This window comes from Homo sapiens, chromosome 4 (assembly GCF_000001405.40).
Source record: "Homo sapiens chromosome 4, GRCh38.p14 Primary Assembly".
NCBI lineage: Eukaryota > Metazoa > Chordata > Mammalia > Primates > Hominidae > Homo > Homo sapiens.
In genome coordinates, this window is record NC_000004.12 from 116085 (window position 1) to 129213 (window position 13129).

A 13129-nucleotide genomic window follows, 5' to 3' on the forward strand; every position below is an offset into this window, starting at 1 on the left:
GTTTTCTATTTCATTGATTTCTGTTTTGGTCTTTGTTATTTTCTCTTTTCTCTTTGGGTTTAATTTTACTTTTTCTAAATTTTTAAGTTTAAAGCTTAGGTCATTGATTTAGACCTTTTTTTCCCCTAATATGATTACTAATGATATAAATTTACCCCAAGCTCATTTTCAGAGGCAGCTCACAAACTTTAGTGTTTTTATTTTCATTCAGTTCAAAATACTTTCTGATTTTCCTTTTGATGTCTGCTTTGACCCATGGATTATTTAGAGCATGTTGACTTTTTATCATGGGTTTGGGGCAATTTTATTGTGATGTGTCATAATTTTCTTTGCAATTCTTGCACTTTGAACTTTTCATAATTTACCAAATTTGCTAATTTTTTGGCTGCTTCTTCAAATATATTTTTGATCCCCTCCTCTTTCTCCTCTCCTTTGGGGACTGCTATCATATATATATATATGTATATATATGTTAGGGAGCTTCAAGTTATTGTACTACTAGCTCACTGATGCACTCTGGATTTTAAAAATTCTTTTTGTTCTCTCTCTCTGTTTCATTTTGAATAGTTTTTGTGGTTCACTAATCTTTTCTTCTGCAATTTCTAATTTGCATAAGATGAAGATTTGAGGTTTCTGTATCTTGATGTGTTAGGCCTTCCAACCTTCTGCTGGTTTTTTGAACATGTGTGTTGCCCTTGGTGAGAACATGATCACTGTGCTTGTGCATAGATGCCTTTACTTTACCCTGTATTCACTTCCCATGACCTTTCTCTCCGCCTCTTTTCTCTGTGTCTCCATGCCAAATGAAAAACAATATTTTCCTTCATTGGAGGGAACAAGTAAGAGTCTTAGGATTTCCAAGGGAATCCTAGCATTGTAAAGGTTTTGAGGAAAGAGGCTGCAGGCCCGGCCAGAGGAAGAAAATCCACTTTGTTTGGAGTGGAGTTCTGCCGCACTCATGTCAGATGACTTTCACATTTTAAAGAGATTTCTTTATAACACTAAGACATTCTTTGTAAAAATTCAAGTGGACTTGACTAAGCTGAGGGTTCAGAAAATGGAATATGAGACATGGGCTTTTTGTGGAAAACAAAGATTGAGAGGGAACTTCCCCATAGTAAAAGCAAAATGGGAAGTGCAGGGTGAGACCCTTTTACACAGAGTGGTGGAGAGAAAATAGAATACTGGAAAGATTCGCCTAGATGCAGAGTGGCCTACAGAGAAACCGCAGCCCTGTTTTTATTTCTCTGGAGTCTCCAAATGGATTATTCAAGGAGCATCCTGTGTAAAGAATTGAGTCAAGGAAAATATTCATACAACCAGCCTGAGTCAATGAGGCAGTGAGAGGGTGGTACACACGCTGGTGATTATTTCATACCAGCAATGCTTATTTCACTGAGGATATTTGAACCTTCAAATCCTCTTCTCTAACAGCCATTTGTGACCCCAAGAGTTGTGTGGAACATTTTCTTTTAAAACACCCTCTCTACATTTCCCATATACTCAGTTTAGCTCTCAGAGAAGGAGCTAAATTATAAAGACAGTGAAGAGTCATCTGAAGTAGTTCTTGGATGTAAAGAAGAAGAGGGTGACTTCAGCAGGCTTTGTATCAAAATCAGGCTGAAGGCTTGTTATGGGTCTTTGTACCTCTTCTCTCTCCCTCCAGCTGCTGCCTGCCTCCTGCCTCTGTCCCTCAGGGCTTGCTGACTCTGCCTTAGTCCTGGGGCTGGCTATTCAGTGGGCTCCTCACTTCTGGCAGTGTAATAGCAACAGAATGTGATTCTTGGGGTACCCCTTGGGGAGCTGAAGGTGGCTGTATTGATGGATCTATTTTGGGACGCAGGAGAAAAGATGCACAGCCCCATCTTCATGCACAGCCTCATCTTCCAGGAGCCATGACTCAGAGGAAAAGGGTGCTTGGATTTTGTTATAGCCATTTGCTTTGTGGAAATTAATGTTTACCATTTTGTATAAAAGAGAGAATATGCATTAGGTCTTCCAACTGTTTATTTTTTAGCTTCCAACTGTATATGTTTATAGATTTTTAAACCAAGATGCTTTATATATATTTTTTTGTGGAAGTATGATAAGTTTTATGGTGCATGGTTGGTACTGTAAACTTGTTTTTCAACTCTATTTTAGATTAAGGGGGTACATATGCAGGTTTGTTTGATGTGCATATTGTGTGATGTTGCTGTTTTGGGTATGAGTGATCTTGTCACCCAGGTACTGAACATAGTACTCAACAGTTTTTCAACACTTGCTTCCCCTCCTTCCTACATCTACTAGTTCCCAGTGTCTATTGTTGCCATATTTATGTTCATGAGTACCCAACGTTTAGCTCCCACTTATATCTGAGAAAATTCAGTATTTGATTTTCTGTTTCTGAATAAATTTGTTTAGAATAATGGCCCCCAGCTGCTTCCATGTTGCAGCAAAAAAACCCATAATTTTATTCTTTTTATGGCTGCATAGTATTCTGCGGTGTATATGTGCCACATTTCTAAAATCCAGCCTACCACTCATAGGTTACTACGTTGATTTCATGTCTTTGCTATTGCACATAGTGCTGCAATAAACAAGTGAGTGCATGTGTCTTTTTGGTAGAATAATTTTTTAAAGATAAATACCCAGTAATGGGATTGCAGGGTAAAATTGTAGTTCTAAGTTCTTTGAGAAATCTCCAAACTGCTTTCCACAGTGGCTGAACTGATTTACATTCCTACCAGGAGTGTATAAGTTTTCTGTTTTTCCCACAGTTTCACCAACATATGTCTTTTGTTGACTTTTTAACAATATCCATTCTGACTGGTGTGAGATGATATCTCACTGTGGTTTTGATTTGCATTGCTCTGATGATTAGTGATGTGGAGCATATTTTCACATTTGTTGGTGCTTGTAAGTTCTCTTTGGATAAATATCTGTTCATGTTTTTGCACATTTTAAAATAGGTTTATTTGTTTTCTGCTTGTTTAATTGTTTATATTTCTTACAGATTCCAGAAATTAGACCTTCATCAGATCCATAGCTTGCAAATATTTTCTTTCATTCTATAGATTTTCTGTTTACTCTGTTGATAGTTTCTTTTGCTAAGCAGAAGCTTTTCAGTTTAATTAAGTCCCACTTGTTAATGTTTGTTTTTCCAGAAATTGCTTTTGGAGACTTAGCCAAAAATTCTTTCCCAAGGCTAATGTCAAGAAATATATTTCCTAGGTGGCATTGTAGCATTCTTATAGTTTGAGGTCTTAAATTTAAATCCTTAATTGATCCTGTGTTAATTTTTGTATACGGCCAAAGGTATAGGTCTGGTTTTACTCTTCTGCATATGAGTAGCTGGTTATCCCAGCACCATTTATTGAATAGAGAGTGCTTTCTCCATTGCTTATTTCGCCAGCTTAGTTAAAAATTAGATGGCTGTAGGTGTGCAGGTTTATTTCTGAGTGTTGTATTCTGTTCTATTGGTCTGTGTGTCTGTTTTTGTACCAGTACCATGCTATTTTGGTCACTATAGCCTTATAGTATATTGGAAGGTAGACAGAGTGATGTTTCTTGCTTTCAGGCAAAGTAGATCCTGAGTCCCAGCCAACTGCTTAGTAGCTTTGGGGCAGTTATATAAACCTCATCTGCAAGAAAAGGCATAATAAAATTGATTGCATAAATGACAAATTTTTTTTGGCCAGGCGCAGTGGCTCACACCTGTAATCCCAGCACTTTGGGAGGCCGAGGTGGGTGGATCACCTGAGGTCAGGAGTTCGAGACAAGCCTGGCCAACATGGGGAAACACATCTTTACTAAAAATAGAAAAAGTTAGCCAGGCATGGTGGTATGTGCCTGTAATCCCAGCTACTCCGGAGGCTGAAGCAGGAGAATTGCTTGAACCCAGAAGGCAGAGGTTGCAGTGAGCTCAGGTCATGCCATTGCACTCCAGCCTGGGTGACAAGAGCAAAACTGCATCTCAAAAATAAAAAAGACAAATATTTTAAAATTTCTTCTTGTATTCATGCCCTTGGCAGTGGCTTTTATAGTCGTTCCCATCAAGAGACAGATTCTGCTTCCCAAACCTTGACTCTTTCTTGCCTTATTTGCACTGGCCAAAGCTGTGCACATGACAGTATGTCAGTTTGGTACCTAGGTTCAAACAGTTTTAAATGCTTCGTTTTGTTTTTCAGAACCCTTTCATCTCTATTAGAACAAGCCCATTTAACTTTCTGGAGGATAAAATAGCATGCTAAGAAAAGCCAAAGTGCCCCAGTTTACAGACAGCTCACTCCCAGAAGCAGAGCCACCTAATTCACCAGCAGCTGAACACTCATGCCTGAAGGAGCCAAACTGAGCCCAGAATAGCCTTGCTGAGCCCAGCCTAAATTTCCAACCACCTCAATCATGAGCTAGTATGTTTTGAGATTGTTTGTTATGCAGTTATAGCTTAGTAATATATATACCCATTAAATACAGGATGCCAGGACAGATTGATTACAAATAACCTGCAAACGCTCGGCACCCTGTAAGTATTGATTTTATTTTCCCTTTATTTAATAGATTTGTTGTAAGATGGTATTCAGTTATTCAGAAGTGAGGTAGGAGAATAGGGTGTAGAGGCAGGGAACTTAAGGCCAATTTGTGCTGACTTCCTAAAAGAAAAAACACCAAGATCTGGGGGCAGGGAACCTAAGACCAGTTAAGGCCAACTTCCAACAGCTAAACCGAAAGAAAAAGAACCCGTCCCCCCACACCAGAGTGGCAAAGGATCAAAGGCTACTCTCCCTACAACCCACCCCGTTCCACCACTCCTCAGACGGAAAGGGAGAGTGCCTTGGAGTGGCCACAGGCTAAGCACACGCCATCCCTTCATCTGCATAGGATGTCAATTCCTGTCAGTTTTTAATTAGCCACAGACCAAATCCTTCATCCAGATAAGGGGCAGCCAATAGGGACCCCAAAAGCTGTACTTAAAACCCAGAAAACTTTGTAACCAGGTCCTTGAGCCATTTGCTCGAGCCCACGCCCACCCTGTGGAGTGCCTTCTCACTTTAATAAATTTCTACTTTTGCTGCTTCTTCCGGTGTTTTGTTCCTCTGTTACTTTCTGCGTTTTGTTCAATTCTTTGTTCAAAATGCCAAGGATCTGGACAACTCACACTTACGGCCTTCCTTCTGGAACAGAAGTGCAGGTAGATGTGGATGCAAGTGATCGGTGCTTAAACTCACAGCATGCCCCACGCCACAGGAGAAAAACACACAGTTACAGCCTGACAATTAGGTCCAAAGATAAATAAGAAACAAGAAGTTTGCCTTTAATCCATTCCCTCTACATCTAAACTTTGGAGGTCAAGGCTGCGAAGATATCTGAAGACATTGTGTTCTCTCCTACTGGAGCCCCATCATTCTTTGTTTATTGTCTGATATTTAAAAGGAAAACAAACCTCTGAGAGAGGAAGCAGTCAGAGGCTGGTTAGGCAGATAGAGAGGGAGGGTTTTGGGACAGAAAAAACACCCACAGGACCGCACCAGCACTGCCCCTGTAGCTAGCAGGAAGAAATGTGGTTAACAACTTCCTTATGCCAGGATGTTGCTCAGAAGGGATTTTTTCAACTTAGGTGCAGGCGCAATAAATCAACCTAAATGTCCTAAACTTGACCCAGCTTATTAGAATATCGTACACACGACATTAGCATTGTTGTTTTAGCACACCCCTTCCCCCATTTCTCCAAGTTTTTGCTTAGGCACTCATGGGTAATAACTAAGATGGAGTCACTGTGGCCCACCCCAGGCATGCACAGATGCAATACCCTTAGTGGGGAACTTACCCCTCCCATTTAGGCAGAACCCCAGAAGACTTCCTTTTTCTTGCCCCATAAAAGACCCAGAACTCGGATGCATGAAGTGGCTCACGCCTGTAATCCCAACACTTTGGGAGGCAGAGGCAGGTGGATGACTTGAGGTCAGGAATTCAAGACCAGCCTGGCCAACAACATGGTGAAACCCCATCTCTACAAAAATACAAAAAATTAGCTGGGCATGATGGTGGGTGCCTGTAATCCCAGCTACTCAGGAGGCTGAGGCAGGAGAATCACTTGAACCAGGGAGACAGAGGTTCCAGTGAGCTGAGATCAAACCACTGCACTCCAGCCTGGGCAACAGAGCAATACTCTGTCTCAAAAAAAAAAAAAAAAGAAAAAAGAAATTAGGCCCATTTCAGGCAACCTGCTTTCAGGTCCCCTTTTGCTGCTGAGAGCTTTCCTTTTGCTTAATAAATCCTACTCTGCCAAACTCACTCTCTGGTATTGCCATGCTTCATTCTTCTTGGTCGTGGATGAGAGGCTAGACCTGGCTGAACTGAGGAGACCACCACATCTCTACAAAACAGCAACTGGGAGACCGTGGTCTTCACGTGGACACTCTCAGCTTGCAGCCCCTGCTCTCTCTAGGGGTTCTGTCCCACCCACCCTTGATCCTGAGGAGAAAAGTTGGTAGAGAGGCTGTTCCCTCACTTCCAGCAGAAAAGACGTGTTCAGGCCCTCAATTCCCTGAGGTCAGAACCCTCATGTCTGCACTCAATGTGGCAGCCACCTGCCATATGTAGCTACTGGGTACCTGGAATGTGGATGGTTTGAAGTAAAATGTGCTGCAAACAAAAAATGCACAGTGAGTTTAGAATAATTATACCAGAAATATACTTTACTTCTTTTTTTTTTTTTTTTTTTGAGACGGAGTCTTGCTCTGTCGCTCAGGTTGGAGTGCAGTGGTGCAATCTCGGCTCACTGCAAGCTCTGCCTCTCGGGTTCACGCCATTCTCCTGCCTCAGCCTCCTGAGTAGCTGGGACTACAGGTACCCGCCACCACGCCTGGGTAATTTTTTTGTATTTTTAATAGAGACGGGCTTTCACCATGTTAGCCAGGATGGTCTCGATCTCCTGACCTCGTGATCCACCCACCTCAGCCTCCCAAAGTGCTGGGATTACAGGCGTGAGCCACAGCGCCTGGCAAAATATAGGTATTCCTAATTATGTGTCTGGAGTTGGTTCCTTCCGGTGGGTTTGTGGTCTTGCTGACCAAGAATGAAGCCACGGACCTTTGTGGTGAGTGTTACAGCTTTTAAAGATAGCACGAACCCAAAGAGTGAGCAGTAGCAAGGTTTATTTTGAAGAGGGAAATAACAAAGCTTCCACAGCATCGAAGGGGACCCCAGTTGGTTGCCACTGCTGGCTGGGGTGGTCAGCTTTTATTCCACCTCCCATTTCCCCTTAATTGTGCCCTCCCGTGTTCCGTTTTTGTCCTATCACAGTGCCCTTTTTTCAATCCTCCCTGCAATTGGCTACTTTTAGGATCCTGCTGATTGGTGCATTTTACAGAGTGCTGATTGGTGCATTTTACAATCCCCTTGCTAGCTACAGAGCACTGATTGGTGCGTTTTTACAGAGTGCTGATTGGTACATTTTACAATCCTCTTGTAAGACAGGAAAGTTCTCCAAGTCCCCAGTTTACCCAGGAAGTCCAGCTGGCTTCACCTCTCAATTATATATTGATCACATATTAAAACAATAATATTTTGGATATAGTAGGCTAAAATTATCACAAACAATCTCACTTGTTTTTATTATTTTCGATGTGGCTAATAAAAAATTGAAAATTCACTAATAGCTAACATTTTATTTTTTAGAGGATTACTTCCTTCTTAAAATCTCATGTGTCCTACTCAAAAGACCAGAGGCCAGAAAGGTTATAAAACATTAAAATAATTGTCATTATATTGTTTCCGTTTGTGAACAAGTTTGTGTATGCACGCGTGCATGTGTACGTGTGTGTGCATGTGCGTGCATGCATGCGTGTGTGTATAATTTATATTATAAATGGACCTAACCTTACATACCACAAGGTTAAAAAAATGACCACTGGGCTGTACCAAGCCAAGCACAGAGATAACACCCCAGCCTGGGCCGGGCGTGGTGGCTCACGCCTTTAATCCCAGCATTTTGGGAGACATAGGCGAACAGATACCCTGAGGTCAGGAGTTCAAGACCAGCCTGGCCAACATGGTGAAACCCTGTCTCTGCTAAAAATACAGAAATTGGCCGGGTGTGGTGGTGGGCACCTGTAATCCCAGCTACTTGGGAGGCTGAGGAGAATCGCTTAAACCCGGGAGGCAGAGGTTGCAGAGAGCCGAGTTCGCGCCACTGCACTCCAGCCTGGGCGAGAAGAGCCAGACTCAAAAAACAAACACAAAAAACCTGCCTCAAAGTACCAGGAGGCCAGAGCCTGTCACTCTCGCCTCATTCAGTGCTGTGTATGGTTGCAACTTCTGTCACTCAAGGCCTGAGGCGGGAGACTTACAGCTCTATCCAATTAGAGCGCTGGATTGACAACTGCCGAATGAGGCGCGCAGCAGAGAGGAGGGTGCGGCATCCGGGATCTGGCGCGGCTTTTGCTTGTAGCTCCAGCCAGAGCTCGGTTAGGGCCTCATCGCTCTGCTCCCGCTCCTTAGGGAAGCCTCGGTGATTCTGCCACAGCCTCAGCCTCTGTGGCTCTGTGACCTGCCGGTATTGGATGATTCGTATCTAAGACTCTGGGACACTCCTGAAGTCGGGAAATGGTGAGTGTGCAGGGCAGGGCGTCCCAAGGCTGTGGAGGCCTCATCGGAACCGGCGGGAAATGGCGGCGGTGGGAGGAGTCTGTGAATGGAGTTCCCGCTCAGCCCTCTGTCCTCAGTCCCCTCCGGTGAGGGACCCGCGCTCTTGTCAGTCCCCGTACAGCGGCTCTGGCCCAGCCTGCAGCCCTCCTTGTGCAGCTCTGCGCCGGTAGCCCTGCACTTTCCCCGGGCTGTGGAGTGAGTAGGAGCTCATCCGGAAGACACCGCGGCGGCCTGCGCGGTGCCGGCGTGGGAGGAGCTGTGGTCCGGAATCCCGTCCCTACTTTACCCTGTTCAGAATGAGATTGAGGCCCCATCAAAACATGGAGTTCATGTGAGCAAACAGGACTTATTAATGGGAAAGCTCTGCCGTGGCTCGTGGTTTGGGGACTGCCAGCGGGTCTTGAAGGAAAGGCTTTTGTGAGGTGTGTGAGGAAGCGAAGCAAATCACCTGCCTGCGCCAACTTTGCCGCCAGTCCCCTTGCCCTGTGCGCCTCCTCCGCGTGGCTGTTCCTGAATACGCTGGTGTCTGTTCGCATCTTTTAGAATACGCTGGTGTCGGTGCGCACAGCGCTTCTCTTAGTTCTGTGAGTAGTTCTGCCACATTATTGAACTTGAGGAGGGTGTGGGCGTCCCTGGTTTGTAGGCAGGGGTTCAGAAATGAAGACGGGTGTCCAGAGGCAGGGACTGGCGTCTGCAGGAGAGCAGCTGCGGGAAGAGTGCTGAGCTTGTGGGGTCAGCGCTGACTCTGGGTGGTGTCGTTAGTGAGTTGCTGGACACCCCGTTGGGGTTGGAGCATTGACTGGTGTTGAGGAAACTCCGCAAGTTTTCTGTCAGAAGAAAGACATGGCCGAGTCTGGGTTGGAGGAAGTCACCTGGTGTCCGCAGGAGGCGCGGCCGGGTTCTGCACAGGCGCTGTCCCGCTGGGCACTGTCCTCTTCCTCCAGGCCTCCTCCCGGGGAGAAAGGGGACTGGGAACTTAGAGGAAAGCAGTTCTAAGAAACATCCCTTCCCCGCATCCTGCTGCCAGCCCCCACCCAATGCTAACCCACTCCTGAGCACGCCCACTGGGCATTCGCACGGCCACACCTGGCCTAAGACAGGGTTCTACCCTCAGGAATTGTGCCCATGGCAGTTTTGCTCCTACAGTTTTCTGCCAAAAGCACACGCAGTGCCCAGAAGACTCCTGGCTCATCTCAACCCCAGATCTGTTTAGCAGGAGCCCGTTTCCTTCTCCAACCCAGGCTTCTGGACCATCTGATCTTAATCTCCTATGCCTTTATGGACTCAGGAATCAGTCAGTGCGTAGCCCTGCCTGGGCCTGTACCTGTAGCACAAACCAGTCCTTTCATCAGTTGTGCCCTGCCCCCACCCCATGGCTCTTGATAGCTCCTTGCTGTCTTGTGCTTTTTCCTTCCCCACAAATCCTCTTTTCTGTGCATACAGTGTGCCCAAGTTCATCCCTTACGTGCCTACAAGAATTCAGACGTTAGGGAATTCAAGACCATGCCTTAGACCTGGCTGTTGTAGGAGCAAATACAAATTAGAAGAGGCTTAATGATTTCTCTTTAGAGTGAGGGAAGAATTTTTGCTCTTCTCCCTTTTCTTAAAGCATTTAGGTGGAAAATTTTTATAATTATTTTCACCAGTTTTTGAAATATATGTAAATCATTTTTATCAGTTAAATAGGTCATTTGTCTTTTTTGACTCAGACTTGTCTTTATCTAGGACTTGGGAACTATTGCTTTGAAATGTGAATAGCAAGAATATATCCCACAGTTTCTGTAGGAGGGTGGGAGGCTGCCTTCAGCAGGTACCTGGCTCCACATTGTGGGTCTACGTCCTGTCATGAAGATGTGGGAAGTTTATTTTTCTTTTGAATATTACCAATTAGAAAACCCAGATTACCTCCCAAATTACTAGGTGAAATAATAAACTGTGTAAATGGTGCTTTCAAGTCTTCTACTTAAGAACTAATGGTGACTTTTTTTCTGTGTTTGCAGTCTCTTAGTAGATTGCCTGTGATGCACATCACATTTTGGTTTAATTATATAACAAAACATTTTCTTGCTGTTCTATTATGGTGGAAAATTTTTTTAGGATTGGAGATAATTTTTCTCTTTTTTTTTTTTTTTAAGACGGAGTCTTCGCTGTGTCGCCAGGCTGGAGTGCAGTAGTGCGATCTCGGCTCACCGCATTCTCCACCTCCCAGGTTCAAGCGATTCACCTGCTCAGCCTCCTGAGTAGTTGGGATTACAGGCGCGCCACCACACTCAGCTAATTTTTTTGTATTTTTAGTAGAGACGGGGTTTCGCCATGTTGGCCAGGATGGTCTCCATCTTCTGACCTCATGATCCACCGGCCTTGGCCTCCCAAAGTGCTGGGATTATAGGCGTGAGCCACCGTGCCTGGCTGAAAATTTTTCTTTTAGTCATATTTTCCATGCACTGTTTAGAAGTACTGGACGTTATATACAAAGTGCCCACCAGGCTTCACTTGAGAGAAAAACCTTTCTTCTCAGGATTCCAGCCACAACCCACAATTGTATGACAAAGTGCAGCAAGGTGCTCCCCAAATCTGCAAACAAAATAGTCTCTCTATTTGGGATCTACAGTCCCTTCTAGAGCAGTTAGACTAGATTTCTACAAAAATCACTTCAGGACAGCAATCAGTTATTTCACCTCCTTCAGTGCTCCTGTCATCTTCAGATCTGACACGGATTCAGAGATCACGGGGCCCATAAACCCAACCAGGATCATACATGTGCATTGATTAAACTTGAGAACTTCAATTCTCTCCCTCCTCCCTTTGCCCAAATGCCCGCAAATGTGCATAGCTCACCAGCCCTCCAAGACCTAAATGTGCAGTTCCAAATTCTGAATTTATTTTCTGGGATTTGAGAGAAGAAAAGAACTTTTATTTGAGAAATACATGTTCTTTTAATGATCAGACCCAGAGACTGGTTAAAATGAGACCACAGTGATGTACTGTTCCCGTCTTTGAACTATTTGTCTTTTGAAATTGCTTGCTATTGGCACAAGTGGCTATAAATTAACCTAATAATGCCACACTGGACACTATAATCCACACCCAATAGCTTAACAATGTATATAACCAATCACTAACCAATGTTACTTCTGTAAATAAGAATTCCTGACAACTTTCTATCCTGCCTTCCTTTTTGCCTTTACAAATATACTTGTAATTGGAGTGTATATTCAGGTAGCTTTATACTCCAGGATTGCAGTCTTCAAGCTTTGGCCCCAGAAAACTCTCTACTTATATTATGTTTATCCCAGTATTTCCTTTTAGGTCAAAATATTCTTAAGAATGTGTTGAAGGAGCCTCCATGAGGTGATCTCTCCTCTGGTTTTACTCTGCTTACTCTAACCCCTAAGAATGTAGAGGCACATTGATCCCACCTAGAATCTGCATACAAAAGTTGGCCTCTGCCTGGGATTCCCAACACTGGACCAGACTTTGGGTTGAAGACATACGAAAAACTCACAGAAGACATTTTCTGCATCATGAGAGGTCAATGTAGACATCTTAAGCCCCATTTTTAGAGTGGGGCCCTTTGAGTTTTCCAGATCTTGTTCAGTGACCTGCTACAGCTGTGTGAGAGGCTTCTGATGGGAACAGAATCCTGTGGCAGAATCTTTAAGTGTAAACAAGCATCTTAGCAGTGGGAGGTAAGGCCACAAAATATCCAGAGCCTTAATGACAACCATAATCACAAGTGTACCTTCCTCCTCTATACTGTGTTATGGGAGTAGAGTACTTTTGTCCTTCTTCTTACCTCAGAGTTAGCTGATCAGGGACAGGGGATATCACATCTGGAGCCAAGATGTGCAGGACCACCAGGACAGCGCCATTTTCTGTTTGCACCACACAAAGTCAGCCTGAGTGTCTCCTCCGTGGATCACTATGAGGGCATCATTACTCAGCATCTTTGAGTAATGAGACATTTGAGGATGTCATGTGCAGACTGGGGTCAGTCTGACAAGGTCTAATTCTGCTCCCATTTCAGAGGAAGATAAGTGACTCATGCAGGGTTTGTTCCTCCCCTCACAGAAAGAATCTCCTTGGTTTGTACCCAGATAAGAATTGCTCCAGTTTTCTGGTTCTTTGGTGAAAAATGAGGAATCTGGAGACTCAAACTGATCAATAAGCTAATTGCTTCTATTTCATATGATCATTAGAAAAAGACATAAAGCAGTCATGGTCCCTACCATCAAGGAACTTGCAGTCTAGAGCACATGAATAAATGATTGAATTCAGCATCGTGTGTTCAGTACAAAGACAGAAACTGTATGGAGACTTAAGCTTAATTTGTGTTACTTCCCTTTTATTGTTTTGTGAGTTTTAATGCCACCATCTGATCAGCTGTTCATTGACAGAAGAGAAATTGTTGTTATTATTTGTGTTGTTTTTACCTTGCTAAGAATAAATAATTAGCTTCTAATATAATTGGTCTAGAAAAACATAAGGGTTTTGGTTAAAT

General features: G+C 43.8%; 2 protein-coding genes across 8 annotated transcripts in view, besides 3 other annotated features; one reads left to right on the forward strand and one right to left on the reverse strand.

Moving 5' to 3' along the window:
- Positions 1 to 7119: 7119 nt before the first annotated feature.
- LOC124900641 (uncharacterized) lies at positions 7120 to 9507 on the reverse strand. The gene has a single exon (XM_047416469.1). It carries the CDS (start codon positions 9162 to 9164, stop codon positions 8688 to 8690), a length of 477 nt encoding a protein of 158 aa, XP_047272425.1. The 5' UTR covers positions 9165 to 9507; the 3' UTR covers positions 7120 to 8687.
- Positions 8392 to 13129, forward strand: part of ZNF718 (zinc finger protein 718) — a 77831-nt gene continuing 73093 nt past the window's right edge. For 2 of the 7 annotated variants that reach the window (NR_110528.1, NR_110529.1), the window contains exon 1: positions 8392 to 8589. Coding sequence is in view for 1 of the 7 variants with exons in the window: in NM_001039127.6 (NP_001034216.2) it covers positions 8587 to 8589 (3 nt within the window). In the remaining 6 variants the exon portion in view is untranslated. Of the gene's footprint in view, positions 9213 to 10979; positions 12318 to 13129 lie in introns of those variants that run through there. The other 5 variants (NR_110527.2, NM_001039127.6, NM_001289930.2 and 2 more) reach the window with 4 other exon arrangements.
- Positions 8402 to 8841: an enhancer, noted in NCBI's record as "active region_21123". NCBI's record gives its function as "activates an Ori minimal core promoter by ATAC-STARR-seq in GM12878 lymphoblastoid cells {active_cell/tissue: GM12878}" and the evidence as "EXISTENCE:reporter gene assay evidence [ECO:0000049][PMID:35858748]".
- Positions 9132 to 9331: an enhancer, noted in NCBI's record as "active region_21124". NCBI's record gives its function as "activates an Ori minimal core promoter by ATAC-STARR-seq in GM12878 lymphoblastoid cells {active_cell/tissue: GM12878}" and the evidence as "EXISTENCE:reporter gene assay evidence [ECO:0000049][PMID:35858748]".
- Positions 9592 to 9651: an enhancer, noted in NCBI's record as "active region_21125". NCBI's record gives its function as "activates an Ori minimal core promoter by ATAC-STARR-seq in GM12878 lymphoblastoid cells {active_cell/tissue: GM12878}" and the evidence as "EXISTENCE:reporter gene assay evidence [ECO:0000049][PMID:35858748]".

Excerpts from the sequence above, each read along its gene's own strand:
- LOC124900641 (XM_047416469.1), bottom strand. The coding sequence starts at position 9,164 with ATGCGAACAGACACCAGCGTATTCAGGAACAGCCACGCGGAGGAGGCG.